Source organism: Homo sapiens, chromosome X (genome assembly GCF_000001405.40).
Source record: "Homo sapiens chromosome X, GRCh38.p14 Primary Assembly".
Lineage (NCBI taxonomy): Eukaryota > Metazoa > Chordata > Mammalia > Primates > Hominidae > Homo > Homo sapiens.
In genome coordinates this window covers 53,264,617-53,290,476 of record NC_000023.11, presented here as the reverse complement: position 1 = coordinate 53,290,476, position 25,860 = coordinate 53,264,617, and the positions used below count along the sequence as shown (strand labels likewise).

Here is a 25,860-nt window from a genome sequence, read left to right as displayed (position 1 = left end):
CACGGGGCTCCTGCAAGCATCCCCGGTGATGTGCCTGCTACTTGTTGAAGAAGAAGATTGAAAACATCTCTAGTTCTCAGCTCTTCCCAGCAAGGAAGTTCCTGGGACCTAGAGCTCAGGACATTTAATAACGAGCATAATCATAAGTCATGTGATGATATACATTTGGGCCTTTACAACTTACAGAAGTTGTCAGGGACTTTCTTTTGTCTGATCCTCCCAGTGACACTGTAGGTAGAACCTGAGCTGGCCTTATCATCATTGTTTTACAGCTGAGGAAACTGAGGCTCACAGTGGTTATGGGTTTTGCCTGCAGCCAGGCAGCTAATATGTGGATTCAGCTAATATATGGATCCTGAGCCAGGATTCAAACCCAAGTCTGCCTGGCGCCAACCCAGAGTGCTACCCATACCATCACCACGGGAGCTCTCGACAGCCTGGCAGATAATAATCATCATCCTCATCCTCATCCTAATATTAGCAATTATAGCAATCACCATTTGTTCCTCACATACTAACAACTTGGAATATGATCTTATTTAATGCTCACAACAGCCCTAATAGGCATGGATTACAATCCCTGATTTACAGATGAGGAGAAGGAGGTTCTGAGAGAGTCAGTGCCTTGGGCTGTCTGATTCCAAAGCCAGCATTTAATTTATTCAGACACGCTTCCTGACATCCATCCTGGGCCCAGAGTCAAGGAGGCTGTAGGGGCCTAGAGGAGTCAGCATCTGGGAAGCGAGGGTCAAACTCAGGCTATGGGAAGGGGCTAAAGCATGGCGTGTATGGGGCAATATCTTGACAACATGGTGGGAAGGCAACTTGAACTTGCAACCAGGGCTGGGTAGGGACCTACTTGTAAATTTTTGAATTCGCTCCAGTTAGGGTGAAGGAGAGCTTGCTGGAGCAGGCAGCGTCTGAGCAGGGCTGTCGGGGACTGCCGTGCAGATTTGCATAAGGAGGGTGTCCCCGGAGGTGGGATCAGCTTGTGGAGGGAAGCGAGGGGGGTGGGTTTAGAGACAGGGAGCCATCCGTGGGGCTAAAATAGAAGATCTAGGCAGGAAAAGAGCAGTAAGGTCAGAACGCGGGTCAGGACTGGGTCACAGCGACCTTCTGTCATCAGTGGGGAGCTGGGGAAGTTGGAGGAGAGAGGCGAGGCTCTGTGGCCTAGGAAGGGCAGAAACACTGGATCCATGCACAGGCCTCCATTTGGGGGGTGGGTTGCTCTCTAGTTGTGTGACTGGACAATCTGTTTGTCTCTTGGAGCCCCAGTTTCCTCATCTAATAAACTTCATGTGTGTGTGGAGGGGGAAGGGCTAGGGAGGTGGAAGAAACACCGAGGAGAGGCGCTAGGCCTGGGCTTTTATGGGAACTGAATAGCAAGGAGAGAGCAGAGTCGGTAGATTGCAAGCCACCCTTGGCATGACCCAGGCCTGAGGGCTTCTAAAGTATGGGGTGCCAGAGGAAGTGTGGCGTCTAATTAGAGCTGAACAGTTGGTGATGGGGGTGGGGGGTAGGCATGGGCAGAGAAAGGTGCCTGGACTTCTTGTGGGTCCCTGAGAAGTGTCACAGATCTGACCTAAAGATACCTTAAGCCAAGGTCCAGAGAGGGATTGGCCATCGCTCGAGGTCACAAAGCTAGCTAGCAGCAGAGCCTGCTTCCTAGCTGTGCACTCTTTGCAGAATCACTTAACTTCTCTGGTTCTTAGTTTCTCATGGGTAAAATGGAAACAATAGTCTTGACTTCTCTGGGTTGATGAGAGAACTTAAAGTAAAGCAATGCTTGGTGTGAAATAGTGGTGCAACAAACTGTAGTGTCCTCTGCTTTCCCCTAACCCAATCCATTGTCATATGCTATATAGTCAGGCTGGAAGAATGTGAACAAGTGTAGAACTTGAAAACAGAGAGGGCAGGACGGGCCTGATGAGGCCCTCACCAGAAGATGAGGGGGCCCAGGCCTAGAGGCACTGCTGCAGTGAGGGTCAGCCTGAACTTGTTGGCCCTGGGGACCAGGCTGGGGTTGCTAGGCACGCAAGGATGAAAGCAGGAGGAGGTGGCCTGTTGCTAGGGAAGGAGGGAGGGGGTGGGGGAGCCGCTGACACCCGCGGAGACAGGGACGTCCCTATGGCAACGGGAGCCACTGCAGTTGGAGGAGAAGTGGGAGGAGGAGCCTCCCACTGTGGGCCTCAGTGCTCCAATCTGTCCTACAGGAGTTTGGATTAGATAATCTCTTGTTTTCACCTCTTGGCAATCTGGGATGGCCAAGACCTCATGAACCGTCTGTGGCTCCCCCATCCACATGTCCAAGACACTACCCATCCCCAGAGCCATCCAGCTGCATCACCTCCCATGATGCCTCCCATTTGGCTCAGCCCGGTTGCCCACCCTGCCCTGTTCCTACCACTTCCTTTGCCTGGAACCTTGCCACTTACTGCTTCACAGTCTGGGGTTGCTGCAGACACAGATGAGCCAGCTCGGGCCAGCCCAAATGGGAGCGTGATGATGGTGTAGACAGCCAGTTTGTGAGGACAGAAGTCTAGAGGAGTCAGAGCTGGATTTTGACAGTGGGAGAGAGGAGGAGGTAACTTTCCAGGAAGCTAAAGAAGGGCAAGAAGGGGTAAGAGGTTTCTCTTCTCCTCCCCTTCCTCTCTGTGTTCTGCCGCCGCCTGGCCCAGCCCCAGGAAGTGGGTGACCCCTAAGCTGGCTGAGTGCCTGGTTGGCACCGAAATAAACTTGCCTTCTCTCTCTTCCCCTCCCCTTGCCTCTGTCCCCTCTGTCCTGGCTTTAATTAGCAGCCCTGGGGATGAGTCACTTGGCAGCTGGGGAGGGAGGCTGCACAGAGCTCAGTGAAGCTTCGACTCCTGCCCTGAGCCTTACGGGCAGCACCTCTGTGTTTATGCATGTGGGTGTGCACTGCTGCATGGCAGCGTGGCTGTGAAGAGCAAAGTGCAACACTGCATGCTGGCGCGTGGCCCTGCATGTCAGGGGGTCTGCAGAGAACCATATCTGGTTGCTGCTGCGTTTGTTGCTGTGTGCCACTGAATGTCAGTGTGTGTGAGCGTGTGGCTGGAGCGTGTGGCTGTGGTTGCAAGTGTCAGGGAACCAGGGAGCTTCTGGGTGAACAAACACAAACGCTGGACAATTGCATTCACCCCTCTCTACCTAAGTGTTCTTTATGCGATTTTGCTTACACAAACCCTGCACTTACATTCCCAATTTTCACTTGTCTTAGTCTGGGTACACTTTGTTGTGAGGAACGGAAGCCCACTCAAGCTAGCTCAAGAATAAAGGGCTAATGAGGGGACTATTGTGAGGCTACATTTCACAGAATCTAAGAACAGTTAATGAAAAACAGCCAGGCCTCACACCAACTGGAAGTGGGACCAGGAAGTCGAGGACCAAGGTTGCTGTCTCGCTGTCTGCATCTCCTGGGCCCATGTCTCATCTTTCTCCATCTCTCATGGCTTGCCTGGTCCCTGTCATCTCTTTTTCTTTCTTTCTTTCTTTTTCTTTTTCTTTTTTTTTTTTTTTTTTGAGCCGGATACTTGCTCTGTCGCCCAGGCTGGAGTGCAATGCCATGATCTTGGCTCACTGCAACCTCCACCTCCTGGGTTCAAGCGATTCTCCTGCCTCAGCCTCCCAAGTAGCTGGGACTACAGGCGTGTGCCACCACACCCAGCTAATTTTTGTATTTTTAGTAGAGATGGGGTTTCACCATTTTGGCCAGGATGGTCTCGATCTCTTGACCTCGTGATCCCCCCTCCTCGGCCTCCCAAAGTGCTGGGATTATAGGTGTGAGCCACCGCGCCCAGCCTATCATCTCTTTTTCATGGACTTCTCTCTCTGGACCAGCTTCCTCTGCTTGCCCATGGCCTGACATGGCCACCAACCTGGAAGCTATGTGACCTTTTCCAGCTTCAGGATCTGCCCCTCCTGCCATTGGACTGCAGTGATCCTCCAGCCTGTGGTAACACAAGGCAGCAAGGGGCCGTGTGAGATAATTGATTCCCTCAGAATTGGATGAGAGGAGAGAGAGAAAACACTTGGTACTTCTTGTTTCTTCTGCAGTAAGCACAGTTTTTATGTGTACCCAAGTGAGGTCAGAGCTGGTCGGCTCAGAGGCAAACACTTGTAAGATTGTTTTTGGTTCCTATTTTATAGCAAGATGACCTTTGCTCACTGTGCTTTCAAGTTCCATATCCTTGCATCAAAACATGCTGTTTTGTCTAAAAGTGCCCTCTTATTTTATGCCGAAAAAGCTTTTAAATGTACAGTGAATATTACCATTGCTACCAGCTTGTGGTAATTTTTCATAACCTCAGAACAACTGGTATAAAGCTACTGATGGTACAGCTGCTACCCAGCTCTTGGTGGCCTCAGGAATTTTGATATTTTATGAGTTCAGTGACTGAATTTATAGTTACCTCCAGTATATAATTACAAGTACACATTATCAATGTTATCAGCTTGATGCTGGAGCTTACTTTTCCACTAATACAAACCCTGCAGGTTTTACATTAATTACAGAGGGAACTAATGACCCCTTAGACAAGTTTTCACCTATGAATAAAGAGTTAGGAATCAGCTGTGCCAGTAATGACTGTTCTCCAGACACAGGAGCGATGTCCACAGCTCTGGCCTTGGCCCTGACCTCGCATCCTCTGGCCGAGACTAGGGGCTTCCCATCACCTCCTCAGAGGCCTCCTGACTCTGGCCTGGCACACAGCAGGTGCTGTTATTTTTAATAAAATTGATAGTTTTATGATTGCTATTAAAGCCATCTTCCATATCTAAATGGTAAACCTAAGTGAGAGAGATTATCCCAGGTTCTGGGCAGTCTCCTTCAACTCCTCCCCCTGCCCTTTTCTCACTGTTCCAAATAGTAATAATTGCTTTGAGTCAGAAAATGTCTGCTAAATATCAGGTACTATTACAGAGCACTGGAGACACATTATCTTTAATCTTTGTGGCCACCCTGCCAAGTAGGGGTGACTTACAGGTGGGGAAACTGAAACCTAGAGAGGTAAAATGACTTGCCCCAAATTGTCCATCCACACATCCATTCATTTATTCCTTCATTCAAGGATTTATTGAGTGCCTACAATGTGCCAGATGCTGCTAAATGTGGCTGATAGGGTGGTGAGTAACAGCCCTGCTGTGATGAAGCCCACTGTCTGGTCAGGAAATAGACAAGGAGACAGACAATTACAGACAATTATAGGGGAAGTGCAGGGTGCTGTGGGAGCACCACGGAAATATACCCAACCCAGCCTGAGGGCCAGGGAGGCTTCTCCAAGCTGACATCTAAGTGGAAGCTTGGAGCATGAGTAGAAGTTAGCCAGGGGAGGGGTTGGGTGGGGCAAAGTGAAGTGAAGAGTGTTGCAGGCCAGAACTGCGAGAAGAGTGTTTGGCACCCACGTTTGTGAAGAACTAAAGGAGTATCTGCAGTGAGATGGCACTGTCATGAGAAACGGTCTCATCTGGAAAGGGAGCAGAAGGTTTATCGGGAGGCTGGAACTGTGGCCCTGGTTGCTTAAGTCCAGAGCTGAGGAGCTGCAGGACCCAGTAACAGTTTCCATGTGACAATTGTGGGCCTGGGAGCCTCCTGGGTCGGCCTGGCCAACAGCAGGCTGGGATTCTAGTGGCCACAGTGCCCTCTAGTGTCCACTGGCCCACCTTGCAGCCTCCACCTCTGTCCATTGTCCCCCCACCATGTGTGACCAGGTGCCCGGTGCTGAGTGCTGGGGACACTGGGATGAACAAGACACAGCTCTCACAGAGCTCCCGACAGAGAAGGGGCAGCAGGCATCTGAACACAGTGTTGAGAGAAGCCGGCTGAGAAAAGAGCAGGGCGGAAGGACACAAGGGAGGTGACCCAACCTGCTTGGGTGGGGTCAAGGCAGGTTCCCAGAGGGCACAACATCTAGCTGACTTTTGAAGAACAAGGGGGAGCCAGCCAGGTGGGGAGATGACAGTGGGGGCACAGCGGGACAACAGAGGTACTATTACAGAGCATTTGACACACATTCTCTTTAATAAGGCTTGGAGCAGCAGAGTGTAGCTGAGAGAGTTGCAGGTGCTTCTGTCTGGGTGGGGTGCAGGTTGAAGGTGGGGGGAAGGCTGAGACTAGCTGGAGGTATGGGGTAGGGGCTAGCTCACAGAAGGTTCTAGGATGCCTGCCACCAGCTCATCATGGGCACTTAGTGAATGGAATCATATAAGAAGCTTCCCTACCCTTTGGGATCACAGACCCATCCGAGGATCTGATCAAAGCTAGAGATGTTCTCCCCAGAAATTAATGCTTTTCATACAACTTTAGGGGCTTCAAAGATACTCCCCACCCCACATGCCTGTCCCAAACCACAGGCTTCCAAATTGCTCTTCCTATAGATACGGAAACCCCGACAGAGGCCTCCAAGGCTCTGCATGCTGGGCCCCCACCTCCATCTCCAGTCTCACCTTTCTCCCCTGTGCTCTTCCCACCCCGCCACGTCAGTCTCTTCGTGCTTGCTGGAAATACCACCTCAGGTCCTTTGTCCAGGTTGTTTCCTCTGCCTGGAATGCTCTCCTCCTGCCATCTCTACTTTTTGCTCAGTTGAATTGCATTAGTTGGTGAATGTCTGTCTCTTCTCACTTGGATATAAGCTCCATGAGAGCAGGACATTGTCTACCTGTAGTCACTGCTGTATCCAGCACCGGGGACAGTGCCTGGGCCACAGTATCTGTCGAATAAATGCATGAAGGCCCTGCCAGTGTCCCGTGGCTGGGTCAGGCTCCTCACCCTTCATTCCTTCCTCCCTTCAGCCTCTGGTGGGTCATCATCTGAGTCTGTTCAGCATGCTCAGCTGTAACTGAATTCCAAAAGTGGTCCCAGGTTCAGGGATATTTTCTTAGAAATCTTCCTCACTATCCCTGAAACAAACAGGCTTCCCATGGGTCTCCTCTGCCTCTCTGGGAGAAGGGACAGACTCTCTCAGGTTCAGGCTGAGACTATTTACCATGTGCACACTTTGTCTACCTACCAAATCCCTACAAGAACTGTGAGGTAGGAATTTCCACTCCTCTTCCATAGATGAGCAAACTGAGCTTCAGAGGGCTTACCCAGCTAAAAAGTGATAGGGCAAGGACTTGTACCCAGCTTTACCAGGCACCAAAGTGTAGGTTCTTTGTCTCACCAGAGAGGGAAAGGGCCTTACCCAAAGTCACACAGCATCATCCCTTAAAGCTACCACTACACTTTCTTTCTTTCTTTTTCTTTTGTACAGGGTCTTGCTCTGTCACCCAGGCTGGAGTGCAGCGGCATGATCTCAGCTCACTGCAACCTCCGCCTCTGGGGCTTAAGCGATCCTCCCACCTCAGCCTCCCAAGTAGCTGGGACTACAGGTGTGCACCACCATGCCTGGCTAATTTTTGTATTTTTAGTAAAGACAGGGTTTTGCCATGTTGCCCAGGCTGGTATCAAACTCCTGAGCTCAGGTGATCCACCGTCCCCCACCCACCCCACTGCTCCCAGCCTCCCAAAGTGCTGGGATTACAGGCGTGAGCCACTGCACCCGGCCCAGCACTACACTTAATGTCTCTCGGCTCCTGCCAGGTCAAGAGGGTTCAGCTCTTAGGGCAATAACTACAAATGGGCACAAGGTGAAGCTGCTGCAGGAGCTAGGAGAGTTCCTCAAGGAGAGTTAAAAAAAAAAAAAAGGCAGATGCTAAGGCCAGAGCCTTGAGGACCAGGGCTTTGAGGGGTGGGCAGAGGGAGAGAAGGTCACTAAGGACCCACAGATGCCAACCTTGTGGTGTTCCGGAGGGCCTCTCTCTCTCAGTAGCTTTGGCTTTCTTGAGAGGAACCAGCTGCCCCAGCAGGGAGGCAGGAAGGCTGGCCTGTTGCCTGTCAGCTTCTATTTCTTCTAGATCACTGGCCCCCTGGCCCCTCCCAGGGCCGCCTTCTGCTCAGAACAGCCAGGGGCCTGGGCTCTGGGACCGTGAAAGGACAGGAGCACTTTGAGCTGGACCTGTGGTATTCTCAGGAGCCCTACATCCTTCAAAGCCAAAAAACTCTCTCCTTTCTCCAGTCCCGCCCATGTGGAGGACAGAGATGTTGCTGTAATAGGCAGGCAGGGAGCCAGGGCACCTGGAGTCTACTCTGACCTGCTGCATGAACTTTAGTAAGACCCTTTTCCTCTCCAGGCCTCAATTTGCCCATCCATAAAGTCAGGCTGGGCAGTTTACTTGGAAGAACAGCCTCTTGGCATTTCTTTTGATTTTCCCTCTTCTCTTCAGGAAGCATTTCTCTCAGCCAGTCTAGAAAACAACATAGAAGAGTGAGAGCTTATTGCAGTGAGAAAGAATATTGGCCGGGGCCCCATCTTGATACCCCAACATGGGTGATTTGAATTGCACTTAATATGCAGAGTCCCAGAACAACTCCTAAACATAGTCTCTTTAACTGTGCTGAAAATAAGGGTATTTGTGAAAAGCTTCTATGGAAAGGTTTCTGTACTCACAAGGTAGCAATATGGCTGAAGGGGCAGATTCCAGGTTTGGGAATAGCCAAACCGGGTCTTGATCTTGGGGTTCTGCCACTTACTAGCAGTATTACTTCACCTCTCTCCATCTCAATTTTCTGTTCAGGAGAATAGAGCCAGCGATACAAACTTGATGGGGTGCGTGGGGAGATTCTAGCAGAGGTGCACTGAGGGAGCCCAGCCTGGGGTTTGGCCCAGAGGAGGGACTGTGAGCTCTCCAGGCCGCTTCCTCGGAGGAGGAGTTCCCAGCCCTCCTGGAGGAGTAGGGGAAGGAGCAAAGTTTCCAGTTGCAATCTGGCCCGCAGCCCAGCTGGCCTGGCCCCGCCTTCTTGGTTCCTCCTTCTAGGGAAGGGCTGGGGAGGAGGGGGTGGTGACACGGTGGAGACACCGGCTAGGCCAGGGGGCCTGCCCTTGGGACAGGTCCAGACCCATGGAGCCCCCCGGGAGGAGCAGCAGGTAGGAACCTGGGCCCCGCAGCCTGGCCCCCTCCCTTCCTGCCCAGGCCTGGACCCAGTCCCTGGGCTACTGATTCAGCAGCCTCCTGGCTTCCTGGTTCCTGGCTCCCTTCTTGGACTCTGAGAGGCCTTTGGCCTGGGGGAGGGAGCCAGTTCAAGTGGGAGATCCCATGGGCATCCAGGTGCCCAGCTCTGGAAGGACCCTGGAACCCTGAGCAGCACAGCCTGTGGCCTGTGAGGGGTGAGCTTGGCTCCTACCCTGCTCTACTAGCCTTGTGTGCGAGGCACTGCAGGGCTCCAGGCTCGTGGCCTCTGAGATTCTAACACCAACATTCCAGCAGCCTAAGAGTCTCTGAGTCTCAGATTCAAAAGAGATAATGAGTCAAGGACTTGGGCTGGAGACTGGCACCTGAGAAGCAGTTGCCCTGATGATGATTAATCCAGAGCCTTCGATAAGAAGAGTCTCAGATTCAAAGATTCCCTGTAAGGTTCTGAGATTTGGACATCCTCAAATTCGCAGCTGGCCTGGCCCGCAGCCATGTCTCCTGGCTTTTACATGGGCTTTTGAATGGCCAGGCCCTGACCACAGTCTGCCTCTGTGGGCTTGTGGGGGACAGGGGCTGGCTGACCTGGAAGGGGTCGGCTCCACTCCCAGCTTGCTCTGGCTCCAGCTGACTGGCATACCTCTGGCATCTGCGCTGCACTGGGTAGGGCAGGGACCAGGCCCTCAGCCTCCCTGCCCTGCTGTACCTCCTCCTCCCCTTGGCCATTCTCCGGACTTTAATCGCAGGAGGCAGGAGGTGGAGGGGTCTTTGGACCCTGCACTAGGGGTGGTGGGGGCACAGCATCAGGGGTGGAGTGTGGGCCCCGCCTTGGGGTGGGGGGTAAAGCACTGGCCTTCAAAGCAAAAGACTCCTACCTGGAACCACCCCATCCTCTGCCTCACCCACTCAGCCCTGAGTCCCATCCTGTCACCAAGACCACTGAGACCTTGTCAGCCTCCTCCGCCCTCACCCTCCTCTGCTCTGGCGCTCTCTGCCTCTCTCTGGCTTCTCTCTGTGTCTTCTGTCTCGCCCTTTCTCTGTCTTCCTCTTTCTCTGTCTTTCTCCTTTTCTGTCTCTTTCGGTTTCTCTCTATCTCTCTCCCTCTCTTCCTTCAGTGTTCCCCTTACCCACCCACCTGGGTTCTCCCCCTTCTTTGGGCCCAGAGCTTCTCCTTCCTCCATCCCTTCCTCCCTTCCTGTGAGGGATCTTCTCTAAGGGGAGCCCCCATGCATCTTTCCCCCTTCTCTTTCATCCCCCCTTCCCCTCCCGTCCTCCCTACCCCTGTGGCGTCTGGTGTGAGGAGGGCTCCCTTCCCCCTTCCCTACTGTGGTGTCCCAGCGTCTCTGTGGCTGAGGTCCCCACGGAGTCACCTGGAACACAGGAGGCCCAGCCCGGCTCTTTCGTCTCTACTGCCCCCTGTTGTCGTTGTGTTCTGTATGTGGTTCGAGTGCCGTCCTCTCTTTCTTGACTTTGTGGTTTTTTTCTTTTTTTCTTCCTTCCTTCCTTCCTTCCTTCCTTCCTCCCTCCCTCCCTCCCTCCCTCCTTCCTTCCTTCCTCTCTCTCCATCTTCCTCCCTCTCTCCCTTCCTCTTTTCCTTTCTCCCTTATCTTCCTTCCTTTCCTCCCTCCCTGCCTCCCACGCCTCCTCTTCCATTTCCCATCCTCCATTCCTCCCAGCCTTCCCTTTTCCCCTCCCGCACTCACTCTCACCTTCTTGCCCCCATCGCCCACCCTGCCACTTCCCTCCCTCCCTGTCTCTCTCTCTGTCTCTCTCTGTCTCTTGCTGTCTCTCAGGTCCACAGCGTCTCATACTCTACACCAGTATTGCTGTCCTACTCAGGTCCTTGACTCCATGAAGCTTACCCCCTCAGGCAGGCTGGCAGAGAGCAGGTAAGAGCTAGACCCATCCCTCCCCCAATTCCTCCTCCTTCCAGACAAATATACAGTGTCATTGCCAGCCCCTCCCACCTCCCTGAGCCCCTGCTGTGCCTGTGGAATGGGTGTCCGAGTGTATGAGGAGAGTGCCTGGAAGATCAGGTCAGCAGACCAAAGAGGACATTTGGGATCTATCTAATTTGTCCTTCCTTAAAAAAATCCTTCCCTAGAGACCTGCCCCAAAAGGCCTGAGTGGTTGGTCCTAGACTATGTGATAATCCAGCTTTTTTAAAGGATGAATAGGAGTTTGCCAGTTGGATAGACTGAGGAAGGGCAGTTAGGCAGAGGGAACAATCTGCCCATATCTTTGCAGAATGTTATTTCTTTTTTTTTTTTCTGAGATGGAGTCTTGCTCTGTCGCCCAGACTAGAGTGCTGTGGTGCGATCTCGGCTCACTGCAGCCTCTGCCTCCTGGGTTCAAGCAATTCTCCTGCTTCAGCCTCCCGAGTAGCTGGGATAACAGGCATGCGCCACTACACCTGGCTGATTTTTGTATTTTTCTTTTAGTAGAGACGGGGTTTCACCATGTTGGCCAGGCTGGTCTCGAACTCCTGACCTCGTGATCCGCCCGCCTTGGCCTCCCAAAGTGTTGGGATTACAGGTGTGAGCCACCACACCCGGCTGGAAAACATTATTTCTAAGTTAATTAGAAAACCTATTTTATGTTTTCTAATTACAGCTCAATAAAAGGAAATATTAACAGCAGCAGCAAAAAGGCTAGGCCCTCCTCCCTATTTGAAAGTTTAAAAATACTTGTGTTAAAGAGGAAATAAGAGTGGAATTTATGGACTATTTAGAATAAATGTCAGTGAGAATACTACAACTTAAAACCTATAAAATATGGGCACAGGGATTCCCAGAGGAAAATTTATAATCTTAATTGCTTTTATTAAAGAACAAGATGGTTTAAATTAAATGGACTAATTATTCCACTCAAGAAGCTAGAAAAAAACAACCAAAACAAAGCAGAATAATTACTACAAATAAAACCAGAAATTAATGAAATGGAAAACAAAAGATTTGATAAAGTATTAATAAGTAAGTAAATATGACTTTTGGAAAGACCAGCTCTACCTAGTTTGGTAGACATTCTTTGGCAGATATGACTAAGAAAAAGGCTAAATAAATAAATACATTAAGAAATAAGGAAGGGGATTTAACCATAGATTCTAAGGAGATGAAAAAAAAGTTATTATAAGAAAATATTGGGGCCAGGCGCAGTGGCTCACGCCTGTAATCCCAGCACTTTGGGAGGCTGAAGCAGGCAGATCACGAGGTCAGGAGATCGAGACCATCCTGGCTAACACAGTGAAACCCCGTCTCTACTAAAAATACAAAAAATTAGTCAGGCATGGTGGCGGGTGCCTGTAGTCCCAGCTACTCGAGAGGCTGAGGCAGGAGAAGGGCTTGAACCCGGGAGGCGGAGCTTGCAGTGAGCCGAGATTGCACCACTGCACTCCAGCCTGGGCGACAGAGTGAGACTCCGTCTCAAAAAAAAAAAAAAAAAAAAAAAAAGAAAAAGAAAAGAAAAGAAAAAAAGAAAATATTGGTTGGACACAGTGGCTCATGCCTGTAATCCCAGGACTTTGGGAGGCCAAGGTGGGTGGATCACCTGAGGTCAGGAGTTCGAGACCAGCCTGGCCAACATGGCAAAACCCCGTCTCTACTAAAAATACAGAAATTAGCCGGGCGTGGTGGTGTGTGCCTGTAATCCCAGCTACTAGGGAGGCTGAAGCAGGAGAATCACTTGAACCTGGGAGGCAGAGGTTGCAGTGAGCCAAGATCGTACCACTGCACTCCAGCCTGGGTAACAGAGCAAGACTCCGTCTCAAAATAAAATAAAATAAACATTGTATATACTTTTTTACCAGTAAATGTGAAAATATAGATGAATTGGGTGGTTTTCTAGGAAAATGTAAATTACCAAAGTGACTTAAGGTGGGACAGGAAACCTGAATAAAATGGAAAAGTAGGGAAGAAACTTAAAAGATGGTCAAAGTGGCCGGGCGTGGTAGCTCACACCTGTAATCCCACCACTTTGGGAGGCCGAGGCGGGTGGATCACGAGGTCAGGCATTCAAGACCACCCTGGCCAACATAGTGAAACCCCGTCTCTACTAAAAATAAAAAATAAAAAATAATTAGCCAGGCGTGGTGGCAGGCGCCTGTAATCCCACCTACTCGGGAGGCTGAGGCAGGAGAATCGCTTGAACCTGGGAGGCGGAGGTTGCAGTGAGCCGAGATTGCGCCCCTGCACTCCAGCCAGGGCAACGGTGTGAGACTCCATCTCAAAAAAAAAAAGAAAAGACGGTCAAAGTTTTCTCCCCAGAAATGGTACCAGGTCCAGTTGGTATTCTGGAAGTTCTGGTATGATGGAAATTCTAGCAAATCTTGAAAGATCAGATAATAGGAAAAGATAGATAGCTTCCCAGTTCATCCCATAAGGCTAGTATAACTAGACAGGTTTAAACAAAATAAAAAAAAAACAACAACTATAGCCTAATGCCACATATTAATAGAGCAACAACTATTTTCAATAAAAGATTATCAAATGGAATCCATCAGTGTATTAAAAGAAGAATATATTGTGACAAATGAAAGTTTGCCCCAAGAGTGCAGGGATTGTTCAACATTAGGAAATGTTATTGTAATTTATTGTATTAAGATATTAAAGAGAAAATATCATATAATCATCTCCATAAATGCTGAAAAGTGATCTGATTAAATTATACATCTATTCTGCTGTATTGGGGTAGTTTGTTACACAGTAATAGATGACTAAATAGTAAGCTAGGAATCATGAAAACTTCCTTAACTTGGTAAAGAATTTTTATCAGAAACCAAAGAGAATCATCAAATGTAACAGTGAGGCCCTAGATACATTTCCATTGAATTCAGGAACAAAATAAGGATGGCTGCTATCACTGTTATTAACCAATATTTTTCTGGAAGTTTTAACCAGTGGGATTAACAAAAGAAATACATGGTATAAATGTTAGAAAGACAAAGTTAGAATTAGCATTATTTGAGGATGGTATGATTGTCTACTTAGATAATTGAAGAGAATAAAATGAAAAATTAGTAGAACTAAGAAGAAAAGTCAGTGCAGTGAGTAGACACAGATAAATATACACGCAAACCATTAACTTCTCTGAGTACCAGCAATAACTAATTAGAACACATAATAGAAAAGATCCCATTCACAATAGAAAAAATAATTCTATAAAACCACTATGAATTTACAAGAAATGTGAAATACTTCTCTATAGAAAACTATAAAATTTAATCAACGGCTGTAAGAAGACTTGAGTAAAACAAAGTTATATCTTGTTCTTGGATGAGAAGAGTCACTGTGGTAAAAATGACATTTTGTTCCTAATTTGGCCAAAACATTCATTGCATTCCTTATTAAAATTTCAGTGATATTTTCTTTGGGATTTGAGTGATTGGAGTTTAAAGTTCATTCAGAAGAGTAAATGTTCATGAATCACTAAGAAAATTTTGAAAAAGAATGCAGGTGGCTGGGCGTGGTGGCTCACGCCTGTAATCCCAGCACTTTGGGAGGCCGAGGTGGGCTGATCACGAGGTCAGGAGATCGAGACTATCCTGGCTAACACGGTGAAACCCCATCTCTACTAAAAATACAAAAAAAAAAAAAAATTGCCAGGCGTGGTGGCGGGTGCCTGTAGTCCCAGCTACTCAGGAGGCTGAGGCGGGAGAATGGTGTGAACCTGGGAGGCAGAGTTTGCAGTGAGCCAAGATCTCAGTCTCAAAAAAAAAAAAAAAAAAAAGAATGAGGGCAACTTGTTGTTCTGTTAGATATAAACTTACCATAAAGCTGCAATAATTTCAAATGTTCTATCACAGAAATAGAGGACTACAGACATGAAACAAAATAGAGAGTTTAGACACAAACTTATGTTCATATGGGAATTTAATTCATGACAAAAGACATCTCAAATCAGTGGGGAGTCAATAAATGAGATGGGACTATTGGTTACCCATTTGGGAAAAAAAATTTAAGTGAAATCCTTGTCTCATATGAAAACAAATACAGGCCAGGTGCAGTGGCTCATGGGGTTACATGCCTGTAACCCCAGCACTTTGGGAGGCTGAGGCGGGTGGATTGCTTGAGCTCAGGAGTTCAAGAGCAGACTGGGAAACATGGCAAAACACCAAAAATACAAAAATTAGCCGGGCCTGGTGGCACATGCCTGTAATCCCAACTCGGCAGGATGAGACAGGAGAATTGCTTAAACCCGGGAGGTGGAGGATGCAGTGAGCTGAGATCTCGCCACTGCACTCCAGCCCTCCAGCCTAGGCAACAGAGGGAGACTCTGTCAAAAGAAGAAAAAAAAAGCCATAAAAGTACCAGAAAAAAATCTGGAATATTTTAATAATATTAAGGTGGAGAAAGCCTTCCTGAGCATGACTTAAAAACCCATAAGCTATAACATAAAGAGTAATAATTTTGGCTACATTAAAATTTAAAACTTCTGTGTGGAGAAAGATGCTATACACAAAATTAAAACATAAACAGGCTAGGAGAAAGTGTTTACTACACAGATATCAGGCAAAAGGTTAATATCTCTGCCTATATCTATATCACCTTCTGGAAACTAGTAAGAAAAAGATACAAAACCCATTCAAAATGGAGAGATAACATGATATGGCAATTCAGGGAAGAAATAGACAATTAGCTAATAAAGGAGAAAATATGCCCAAGCTTACTAATAGTTAAAGAAATGCAGCTAAAGCAGGCCGGGTGCGGTGGCTCATGCCTGTAATCCCAGCACTTTGGGAGGCCGAGGCAGGCGGATCATGAGATCAGGAGATCGAGACCATCCTGGCTAACATGGTGAAACTCCGTCTCTAGTAAAAATACAAAAAATTAGCCAGGCGTGGTGGCGGGCGCGTGTAGTCCCAGCTACTCAGGAGGCTGAGGCAAGAGAATGGCGTGAACCCGGGAGGCGGAACTTGCAGTGAGCCAAGATTGCGCCACTGCACTCCAGCCTGGGCAACAGAGCAAGACTCCGTCTCAAAAAAAAAAAAAAAAAAAAAAAAAAAGAAATGTAACTAAAGCAATGAAGTGCCATTTTTAGGTTCCCAAATTAAAAATATTGGAAGGGTTCTGGAGAAACAGAACCTCTCAGATACCTTCTGCAAATTGGTAACATTTTTTATGGGGCTAGTTTGTCAGTTACCACCAGAATCCTAAATGTCTGTATTCTTCCATGCTGAGAACCATATCCTGGAGCTAGATTTCTCCAAGGTCTTGCTTCCAGAAGGACCTCAACTTGGCCAACCAGAGGCCTTTTCTAAAACACCACAATCCAAACTGCAAACATAAGCCAGACTGTGCAACTCTTTATCACCTGCCCTTGTAGGATATCATTCTCAACCAACTCTTAACTAAAAGGTGCATGATATATGCTTCTCAAAAGAAAGACAAGATTATGTGAGTAGGAATAATCTTTCTTTACAGCCAGACTGCAAACATGTTAAAGTAACGGAAATAACTTTTATGTGCACTTTAAACAAAATGTGCATTCCTTTGACCCAGCAGTTCAACTTTTAAGAATCTTAACCTTCAAGAATACTTGGAGACATATGCAGAGATGTTCAGTGCAGCATTGCTTGTGATACTGAAAAATTAAAACAACCTAAATGTCTATCAGTAGGGAATAGATCTTAGTCCATGATATACCCATATTATGGATTACTCTGTAGCAGATCCAAAGAAAAGGTAGCTCTGTATATACTCGCACAGCAAGATCTACAAGACTTACTGTTACATGGAGAAAGCAAGTTGCAGAACAGGGTTTACAGTATAATCCCATTTTTGTAAGGAAAAGAAAACCCCCATAACAACAGTGAAAACATGTTATGAACACCCTGTCATCATTTCAAAATTACTGGCCTTTTTCCTTGGTCCCATTTCCTTGCTTTTATTAATTCATTTCCCTCCTCCTTTATACCTTGTCCCTGTATCCAGCTGTTCAGATTTTGTTTAGATCCTTTTAATAATTAGCTCAGATACCACATCATTCATTCAGCAAGGATTCTGTCTTGCCTGCTTTAGATTAGGCCTTGTGCTGACCTTTGGTGGAATATTGGAATGAATTGTATCTGATCCTGCTCTCATGGAGCTGAAGTCTAGAAGGGAGAAAGGCACATAGACAATGACACCGTAGTGTGATTTGGGATGGGACAGAAGTAGGCCCAGAAGGCTGCCAGATGAGGGGCAATTAACCCCATCTGGGAAGGCTTCCTACTGGAGGGGACGTTTGTACTGAGTCTTGGAAGAGTGCTAGCTTTCCTTCATCCCCTTCCTCCACCAGAAATGGTCTTGTTCACTCTTTGGCCCTTCCAAGCAGGATGACGTCATAGGGGAAAAATAGTGGAGTCAGTACCTTTATTCAAGTCCGAGTTCTGCCACTTACCAACTCGGTGACTCTGGGCAAGTCATTTATCCTCTGAGCCTCTGTTTCCTCATCTATGTAATGCGGCTAATGCCAACTTACCTCTTAGGGCTGTCTTTAGGATTGGAGATAATGCATGTAAGGCTCCTGGGTGACTGTCAGCTCTAGAAGAGGAGGGACTACCTGTGTCTTGTTTTCCTCATAGCCAACTGTGTAGCATTGAATTGGATTCGATCTCAAAGCTGTGTGTATTAGACGGTTCTGGAGCAAAGAATGGGCCTGACCATAGCAGGGCTTTGGGATGAGAAGGCTGAGAGGAGTACAGGGTACATGGGTTGCATCATAAGAAGAGAGAACCAGGTGCCTGGTCTTGCCTTATATAAAGGTGATGCAGGAGGGAAAATAAGAGTAGGCGTTCCTGGGAAAGGGATTCCAAGTAGGGAGTTCTGGCCCTGGTTCTTGGTCCTCTTCTACTGATACCATCTCCTAATCTCACAGTTCAGAGCAGTGAGGCATGGTGGACCACTACTTGCCATGGCATTCATGGCAATTTCAGTCCCAACTTTGTCACTCACTAGCTAGCTGACCTTGACCAACTCACTTCACGTTTCTGAGCCTAGTTCCTTATCTGTTAAACAGGACTCAATACCACCAACATCATGGGGTTCATTTACTGAATGAGCTGAGCTCATTCAGATGAATGCATTCAGAATCTGAGTGGCTGGCACATAATGGGTACTCAGGAAAGAGTAGCTATTATTAGTGTTGATTTCAGTAGATACTTTTGGAGTACTGCTGTGACCAGGGTCTCTGTTGAGTAACAGTTCTTGCCCTCCATGAGTTCCCAGTCACTCAGGGAGACTGAGAAGGGCCCTGACAGAGGAGAACACTGAAGGGTATGGAAGCCCAGAGGAAGGAATTTGGCCCTGTCTGGGGCTGGTACAGGTCAACTCAGCCTAAGAGCTGGGTCTTAAAGGTTAAGTAAGAGCCAGGGACAGAAGGGTGAAGTGTGGAAGAGCATTCCAGGCAGAAGGAATAGCATACAGCATATGGAAAAGAAACGGGATGTTATTGGGAAGGGCCAGAAGTTCCTAACCTGGGGTGCATGGGTCTCAGATGGGCTTCAGGAACCCCACGAACCTCCGGAAATTGAATGCAAAATGTTGCATTCATATACCTATGTGCATTTTTTGGTGGAAGAGATGGTCCATGGCTTTCATTAAATTGGTAAAGGGGTTTGCATTCCCCTCAAAAAGCTTGAGAACCAATATTGTTGGTGACAAAGTGTCAGTTGAATGGATTCTAAATAGGAGAGTAATTTGGCAAAATTTGTGTTTTAGAAACATCACATTAGCAGTCAGTATGAAAAATGGGTTGTATGCAGGGAAACCAGCTGGAAGGCCTAAACTGGGGTATTGGCAGAGAAGAAATGGATTTGAGCAGGGCTACGGTGTTGCACGACTCCAGTGAGCACCATTTGTTGAGAAGCACTTTAATTTCAAATTATAGAATCCAAATCCTTTGAGAGTTATTAATGAGATAGACTCAATAGAAGTGTCAGATGATATAAACTGTTGTGGATGTATAAGGTGAGGGAAAGGGAAGAGGCGAGGATGAGTCAAAGTTAGCAGAGGGCCAGAGGGACATGAGTCCATGCCAGGGTGATAGTGCAAGGGGAAAAGGGAACCTCTATTAATGCTCACCCAGCATCCAGAGTCCTTAGTCTCAGACATATTTACTAACTTTCATCCTACCCCTGGTTCTCAGAGATCCCAAGTGACACTGGCAATACTCATTTCCCTGCGGATTTTGCAGAGGAATTACTTTTGCTTTGTGAGTTAGGTCAAGTTTCCTGAAGAAAGCTGTGTTTAAGCCAGTCATTCAAGGTCCATGAGGATTCTGAGAGTTAGAGATGGGGGAGGAGGTGCTGACAGTGTCCGCAAAGGCCTGGAGGTGAGCAAGGTGAAATCAGACATTGGAGGGTGCAGAGGTCAGGCTTACCTCAAGCAGCTGTCTGAAGAGTATAGGCTTTTTATTTTATTTTATTTTTTTTTTGGTAGGCAGTTGGAGAGCCATGAACAGTTCTTGAATAGGAAAAGATGAAAAGTGACATGATCAAATTAGCGTTTTAGAAGGGAAATGAGGGAGGAGGCTATGCAGTAATCCAAGGGAGAGAGAAGCCAAGGTCGTGGGCATAGAGCCGAGGAGATGGATTTGAGAGGTGATCAGGAGGAAGAGAGGACTGGAGTCAGAGACTGAAGAGGTAACCGGGGAGAGAGGAGGAGGTGGAGATGACAGAGGCTGGAGTTCGCAGTAAGTTCAAGTGTTCATGCCTGGCACTGGATTCATTCATTCACTGAATATTTATTGAATGCCAGGCACTGTGTTAGGCACTAGGGGTTTAGCACTGAACAGAACAGATGCCTGTCCTGATGGATCTTACAGTGAGTGAGACAGAAAAATAAATAAACAACTAAATGTCTAGAGTGTATCTGATGTCGATAAGTGCTATGAAGAAAAAGCTGGGGTGATAAGGTAGAGAATGTTGGGGTGCCTTTTGAGAGGGAGGGCCTCTCTGATGAGGCAGTATTTGAGCAGAGGCTTGAAGGAGGTAAGAGAGTGAGCCGTGTACCTCTCAGGGACGATGTTCCAGATAGAAGGAACCGCAGGTGTAAAGGCCCCGAGGCAAGAGTGTGTTTGGTCTGTTTGGGGAGCAGCAGGGAGACCAGTGTGATGGGGAAAAGGCTGAAGAAGGAGTGAGAGGAGTAGAAGATGAGATGGTAGGGGCAACATCACAGTCTATCTTTTAGAGCTATTTAGGAGGTAGAGTCCACAATAATTGGTGACTGACTTGCTAAGAGGGCAGGAAGAATCTAGGGTGACTCCAAGGTATGTTTTGGGCTCAGGTGACTGGATGAATGGTGGTGCCTTAAGGACAATGGTGAGATGCTGAGTCAGAGGTCCCTATGAGAGCTGAAGGCCCAAAGGGCCATCCTGGTAGAGCTGTCCAGCAAGCATTGGGCTCGACGGGTCCGGGACCCAGGAGAGGGATCTACACCTGAAGTTATGAAATGGAATGAGATCACTGAAAAAGTGTGGAGTGAAAGAGAAGAGGGCCAGAGCAGAATTGGGAAGGGGAAACCAACGCGTAGGGAAGGAGCCCAGGAAGAAATGGGGGCGGGGTCAGAGCAGTAGGAGGAAAAGCAGTGGGGGTGGGCTCACAGAAGCAGAGGAAGGAAAGGGCCATGCAGAGGAGGGCCTTGTTAAGAGTGTCAAATGTTGCAGCCTGGGCTAGTAAGCCGAGGGCGGAAGAGAGTCTATTGGCTTTAACCATCAGGAGGGCCTGGGCGACCTTCCTCAGAACAGCTTCCATGGAGTGGTGGGCGCATGAGGCAGATTGGAGTGGGTCGAAGAGCTCGTGGGAGGTACCGAAGTGAAGCAGAGATGGCCAGTGTAGACGGGTTTCTTAAGAAGAAGCTTAGCTGTGAAGAGGAGAGAGGGACAGAGGGGGATGTGGGGGCAGATAGAGGGTTTTTATTCCCAGATGGGAGAGACTTGAGCTTCTATAAATGTTGATAGGAAGGAGGCAACAGAGGGGGAGAGGTTGAAAACGCAGGAGGGAGAGGGGATGATTGTTGTGGAGGAGGTAATGGGGATGGGCTCCAGAGTCCAGGTGGAGAGACTGGCCCTAAATGCTAGAGGGGCCCCCTCTTTCTTACAGAGGAGCAAAGCAGTGATAGTGGTGGGGATACAAGGGTATTGGGGGATTGGTGAAAGAAATGCTTCAGGAAAGTTCAAAGCAACAAATGGAGAGCCCTGGCCAAGGGAACGGATGCTGGAGCTGGAAGGAAGCAGAGAATACTTCTGGCTAGGACTTCCTTAGGAAGTGGCACTTGAGCTGGGTCAGGAAATTCAGAAAGGATGGTAATAGGCAAAGATCTGTGCAGAGGGAAGAGTATTCTAAGTGGAAGAAACAGAATCAGCACACACATAGAGATGTGAAAAGGCCAGGCATGCTGATGGAATAATGAACAAGCTAGCTTGATGAAGGCTGGGCATCAGTGAGTAGGGAACATGGATACCACTATAATGGCCGTTATAATAATAGTTACCATGCACTAAGCACCAGCCTTGCTTAGTACATATTTGAATTCCTTTAGTCCCACTGCACCCTGCAGAATAGGTATTTCCTCAGTTTGCAGGTAAGGAAAGTGTGTCCTGGAATGGTGAAGAAATGGACCCAAGGTCATCCGGCTAGTAAATGATGGGGCTGGTATTGAAACTCAGGTCCGTCTGATTCCATAGCCTGTGCTTTTGCCATCTAACAGGAAAGGCCTGGTGAGGCCATATGGTGGGAGAGCCTTGAATGCCAACTTGAGGACCCTGAACTTTATCCAGGAGGCAGTGGGTGTCTGAGCAGAAGAGATGCATGCTTGAAGGTGGGCTTTAGGAAGGCTAATGTGGTTCAAGAAGGGAGGGAGAAGAAATCAGGAGGTGACTGCAGTGTTAGGGGGAGAGGAAGCAGGGGCCTCGCCTGGAAAAGAGGGGAGTGAGCAGTGGGAATGGAATATCACTTGTTCCTCATGACAGCCTGGAGAGGTGTGGATCTTCTGTTTTTATAGATGAGGAATGGGACACTCAGAAAGGGAGGGCTACTTGCCCAGAACTTGCGCCCTGCTTCATGTGATTTTGCTGATTCAGGAAGTCCGTGGAACAATGTGTCAGAGGGAGCTCTGAGTCTGAGAAAGGCGTGTGCGTGCGTGTGTGTGCTTGTCTGTGCATCAGATGGACAGCAATGCCTTCCTTTCCTTTCCCTTCACTTCCCTGTCTGCGTTCCTTCCCACCTCTTCCCATTCTTCCAGTCTCCTGGATTCCATAATTCCTGCATCCCCTGAGCCAAGGGGTCTGGGAATGAGGGTAACTGTTTCCTTGTCTGTCCCCAGAAGGTCAGCCTTGTCACTCCCAAGTCACCTGGTCCCCTCCCAGCCCAACTGTCTGTCCATCCACCATATGAAACTGTAGCCCAGCACCAGTGAATGCCACATGCAGCCTGGCCCCTGGTACTGCTCAGCAGCACCCTAGGGATAGGTGCTTGTTCCTGCAGCGACTCTTCTCCCACTGCTGTGGCTGCTTCTGTGTGGGCAGACGGCCACTTTGGGAATTAGATTCAGCTCACGAGTAGTTAACAATAATCACCACCATGTTCCCATTGCTGGTGTTTGCCAGACACTTGATATATGTTCTAGTTCTTGCAACAGTCCTGGGAGGTTCACATCACGAGCCCCATTTTTACAGACGAGGAAACTGAGGCTCCAAGAGTGACAATAATGCGCTCAAGGGCATATAGCCTGGAACCACTTGTAGAGCTGGGATTTGAACCCAGGTCTGTTTGCTTCCAAAGCTGTGGGCTTTCCGTACTCCATTTCCAAGTATCTCCCATTTTCCTGAGCCTGAACCTTCAGGAAATACAAATCCTTGTCCTTCAAGAGCAGGGTGGGTTTCTAGAGATAGTGCCAAGTTCACCCAAAGGACCTAGTGGGATGAGTCTGAGACTTGGAGCTCCAAAAACTCTGGGTTCAAATCCTGACTCTACCACTTACCCAGCTGTGTGACCTAGAGCAAGTTATCTAACCTTTCTGAGTTTTAATTCCCTCATCTCTAAAATGCTCCTCTGCAGAGCTGTTGTAGGGGCTAAGTGAGATGATGCGTGCAAAATGAGAGCAGGTTGCTGTTATTATATTAAAATGAGGGTCAGGCACCTGGCAGGGTTAGAAAGGGAGTTGATATACGCTGAGGGTGACCTTAAGACTGAGCCCAGGCTGGGTGTGGGGGAGGGCTGTCCCAGCACACTGAGTTGGGTGTGACCCTGGATAATCCATCACACTGGCCTCCCCACCCTGACCCCCATTCTCGTCCCACCTTCTGGTTCCGGTCCTGGCCCTTCGCGTATCTCCCCTGCTCTGCAAACTAATGCCTCTGCCTCTCTCTGTCACCCACCGCCTGTGGCCTCTACCCCGCCCTTCCTGGCCCCAGGGAAGAGGAGGAGGAGGAGGAGACTGAGGAAGAGGAAGAGGAAGACGCTCACCAGTTCTGCTGTCCGGCCTCCGAGTGCAGTAGTCCCTCCTCTCGGTAACTGAGAGGACAAGGGCCATTTTCTATGCAGAAGCAAAAGCCTTAACCAGCCCCTCCTTCCCCCCACCCACCCCCCCGCAGATTCCCCCATGGGACCCTGTCCCCTGCTTCAGGAACCAGATGGGCAAGCATCGTGCCCCTTCCTCCCCCCACCTTCTTCTTGGAATTCCCATCCCCACTGCTGTCTCCTCTGGACTCCAGCCCCTGAATTAAAGAGAGCTGGAGCCCTAGGTCCGACTAAAATGTGGGAGAAGCAGAGCTTGGAGCTTGGAGCTTGGAACCTGGATCCTCCCGTACCCGCACTCCCACTTCCCAGGCACCCTGGAGCCTGCCACTACTGGAGAGGTCTCCAAATGACATCCCAAGGACCTACCTCTGTCCTCTGTGAGCACAAACAGAGATGCAGGGTGCCTAGGGCTCAGAGGACCAGACGGGGGCAGGACCCAGCCTGCCTAGTTCCCTGTCGTTTGTTCCCTTGCTGTGGCCATTGCTGCCATCTCCTCCACTGCTTGAAGGCCTCACCCCATGCCCTCTGCCACTCCCATAGTGCTCTGTAAATATTATCAGGAGGAAAAGGCCTCTCAGAGTGCGTGTTGCTGTGTACAAAGGAATTTCCATCAATAAAAGCTGATCTCTTCTCTCTGTCTGATGTATATTCCACCCACCCCCACTTCCCTCTTCCAATCCCCACCAGGGCCTTGCCTTCTTTCCTATCCAGGGCTGGGAATAGGGGCCGGGAAAGAGAGTAGGGTTTGATTCGTGGTTTTGTCAACACCCAGGAGGCACTCAATAAATGCATGAATGACTCCCAACACGGGCAGGCTAACCTTGGATGTGTCGCATGACCTCTTTGACATCTATAAAAAGGAGAAGGGTTGGATTAGAGGGTCTCCAATGACTCTTCCAGCTGTGACATTTTGTGAATCTGAGATGCTACAGTTTTAAGAAGCTATGATTATGTGAATTTAATAGACAATGATTCAGTGACACATTCCACTGCAATTTTATGATTTCTATTTCTACAATGCAGTGATTTTGGGATTTTCCAGTCCTGTGGTTTTAAGATTGCATAATTCTACCATTTGAACAAATTCTGATGATGCAATTTTAATATTCTGCAATGTTTAGATTCCTTGATCGTTTACTTTTAAGGTTCTGATTCTACAACTTTAGGGATCTCTGAATCTGAGAGGAAGCCATTTCCCTCCAATGCAACGACCCTAAATATTCCCTGCACCTGGGCAGAGGCTGGTTCTAAGACTCCCTGGAGGCTCTCAGCTGGAGGGTGGAAGATGTCCTTTACGGGTTTGTAGGACTCACACCTTCCATGATGTGTCTGAAGTGGGCTCATACCCCCGACTTTTCCTGTCTGAGCCTTTGGTATTAGACAAATCTGAGTTTACCTTCTGGTTCTGCCACTTACATCTGTATAACCTTGAGCAAGTTTTTTCTTCTCCTTGAGCTTTGTTTTCCTCCTGAGTACAGTGAGAATATACCTACCTCTCTGGGTTGTCATGAAGATTAGCAAGAAAGAACACAACGAGCCCAGCATAGGAGCTTGTGCACTGTTGGGCAAGTGTGCTGTGATTGGTGGCTCTTGTTTTGATTAAGGCCCAGGTGAGAGTTTTCTCCTGTCTTTTCTTTCCTCCCTCCCTTCAGCATCTCTATCACATTGAACCTCTAGGTTTCCTAGAACCTCACCTCCTTCCCTCACTTATTGCCTCACTCGCTCAACTCATCTACTCATTCACCCATTCAAAGTCTCATTTATTTCTCCCCTCCCTCCCTGCCTGTCTCCCTTATTTACTCTTCCTCATTCTACTCAACAAAGCATTGTTTGAGCCCTTACTGGGTATAAGACCTGACGCTAAATACTGTGAGAGATCCAAAGTAAGACAGAGGCCAGGTGTGGTGGCTCACACCTGTAATCCTAGCCCTTTGGGAGGCTGAGACAGGCAGATGGCTTGAGGCCAGGAGTTTCAGATCAGCCTGGGCAACATAGTGAGATCTCATCTCTACAAAAAGATTTTTTTTTTTTTTTAAGCATGACAGTGGCTGTGTCCTCTGCGAGCTCTCCATCTCCCAGGGGAGATGAGAGATGAGAAATCCTTTGGGAAAGTAGGAAGGATGCAAAGGGTTAACATGATTGGACAGGAACGGCTTCAGTAATGAGCACATTTTGTTCCTGGCCCAGAGAGGAAGGAGATGTCAAGGTGGGTGGGGAGGTGTGGTGTCCAGGAGGGCTTGCTGGAGGAAGAGGTGCAAGAGTTGAGCCTTGAAGGCTGGTAAGGGTTTGAAAAGGTGGCAAGGGGTGAGAAGGCATTATAGGAGACAGGGACCGCATAGACA

General features: G+C 48.5%; 1 protein-coding gene across 21 annotated transcripts in view, besides 4 other annotated features; it reads left to right on the top strand.

Annotated features, from left to right (window-relative positions):
* The window catches only part of IQSEC2 (IQ motif and Sec7 domain ArfGEF 2), a 95,538-nt gene that overhangs the window by 30,874 nt on the left and 38,804 nt on the right, over window positions 1-25,860 (top strand). For 10 of the 21 annotated variants that reach the window (XR_938365.3, XM_047441928.1, XM_006724582.5 and 7 more), the window contains exon 3: window positions 10,818-10,913. The exons of 3 other annotated variants lie outside the window; for them this stretch is intronic. Coding sequence is in view for 17 of the 18 variants with exons in the window: in XM_047441928.1 (XP_047297884.1) it covers window positions 10,818-10,913 (96 nt within the window). In the remaining variant the exon portion in view is untranslated. Of the gene's footprint in view, window positions 1-8,892; window positions 8,982-10,700; window positions 10,914-23,412; window positions 24,150-25,860 lie in introns of those variants that run through there. 8 more of the 21 variants (NM_001441095.1, NM_001441094.1, XM_011530773.3 and 5 more) reach the window with 4 other exon arrangements.
* Window positions 1,475-2,366: an enhancer, noted in NCBI's record as "H3K4me1 hESC enhancer chrX:53317293-53318184 (GRCh37/hg19 assembly coordinates)". NCBI's record gives its function as "activates a minimal SCP1, AML or CMV promoter by ChIP-STARR-seq in naive and primed H9 embryonic stem cells {active_cell/tissue: H9 hESC(naive and primed)}" and the evidence as "EXISTENCE:reporter gene assay evidence [ECO:0000049][PMID:30033119]".
* Window positions 1,976-2,270: a silencer, noted in NCBI's record as "tiled region #3296; HepG2 Repressive DNase matched - State 9:DNaseU, and K562 Repressive DNase unmatched - State 10:DNaseD". NCBI's record gives its function as "represses a minimal TATA promoter and a strong SV40 promoter by Sharpr-MPRA in HepG2 and K562 cells {active_cell/tissue: HepG2 | K562}" and the evidence as "EXISTENCE:reporter gene assay evidence [ECO:0000049][PMID:27701403]".
* Window positions 8,462-9,289: an enhancer, noted in NCBI's record as "H3K4me1 hESC enhancer chrX:53310370-53311197 (GRCh37/hg19 assembly coordinates)". NCBI's record gives its function as "activates a minimal SCP1, AML or CMV promoter by ChIP-STARR-seq in primed H9 embryonic stem cells {active_cell/tissue: H9 hESC(primed)}" and the evidence as "EXISTENCE:reporter gene assay evidence [ECO:0000049][PMID:30033119]".
* Window positions 10,210-10,409: a silencer, noted in NCBI's record as "fragment chrX:53309250-53309449 (GRCh37/hg19 assembly coordinates)". NCBI's record gives its function as "represses an EF-1alpha promoter that drives an FKBP-Casp9 reporter gene in an ReSE screen in HepG2 liver carcinoma cells {active_cell/tissue: HepG2}" and the evidence as "EXISTENCE:reporter gene assay evidence [ECO:0000049][PMID:32094911]".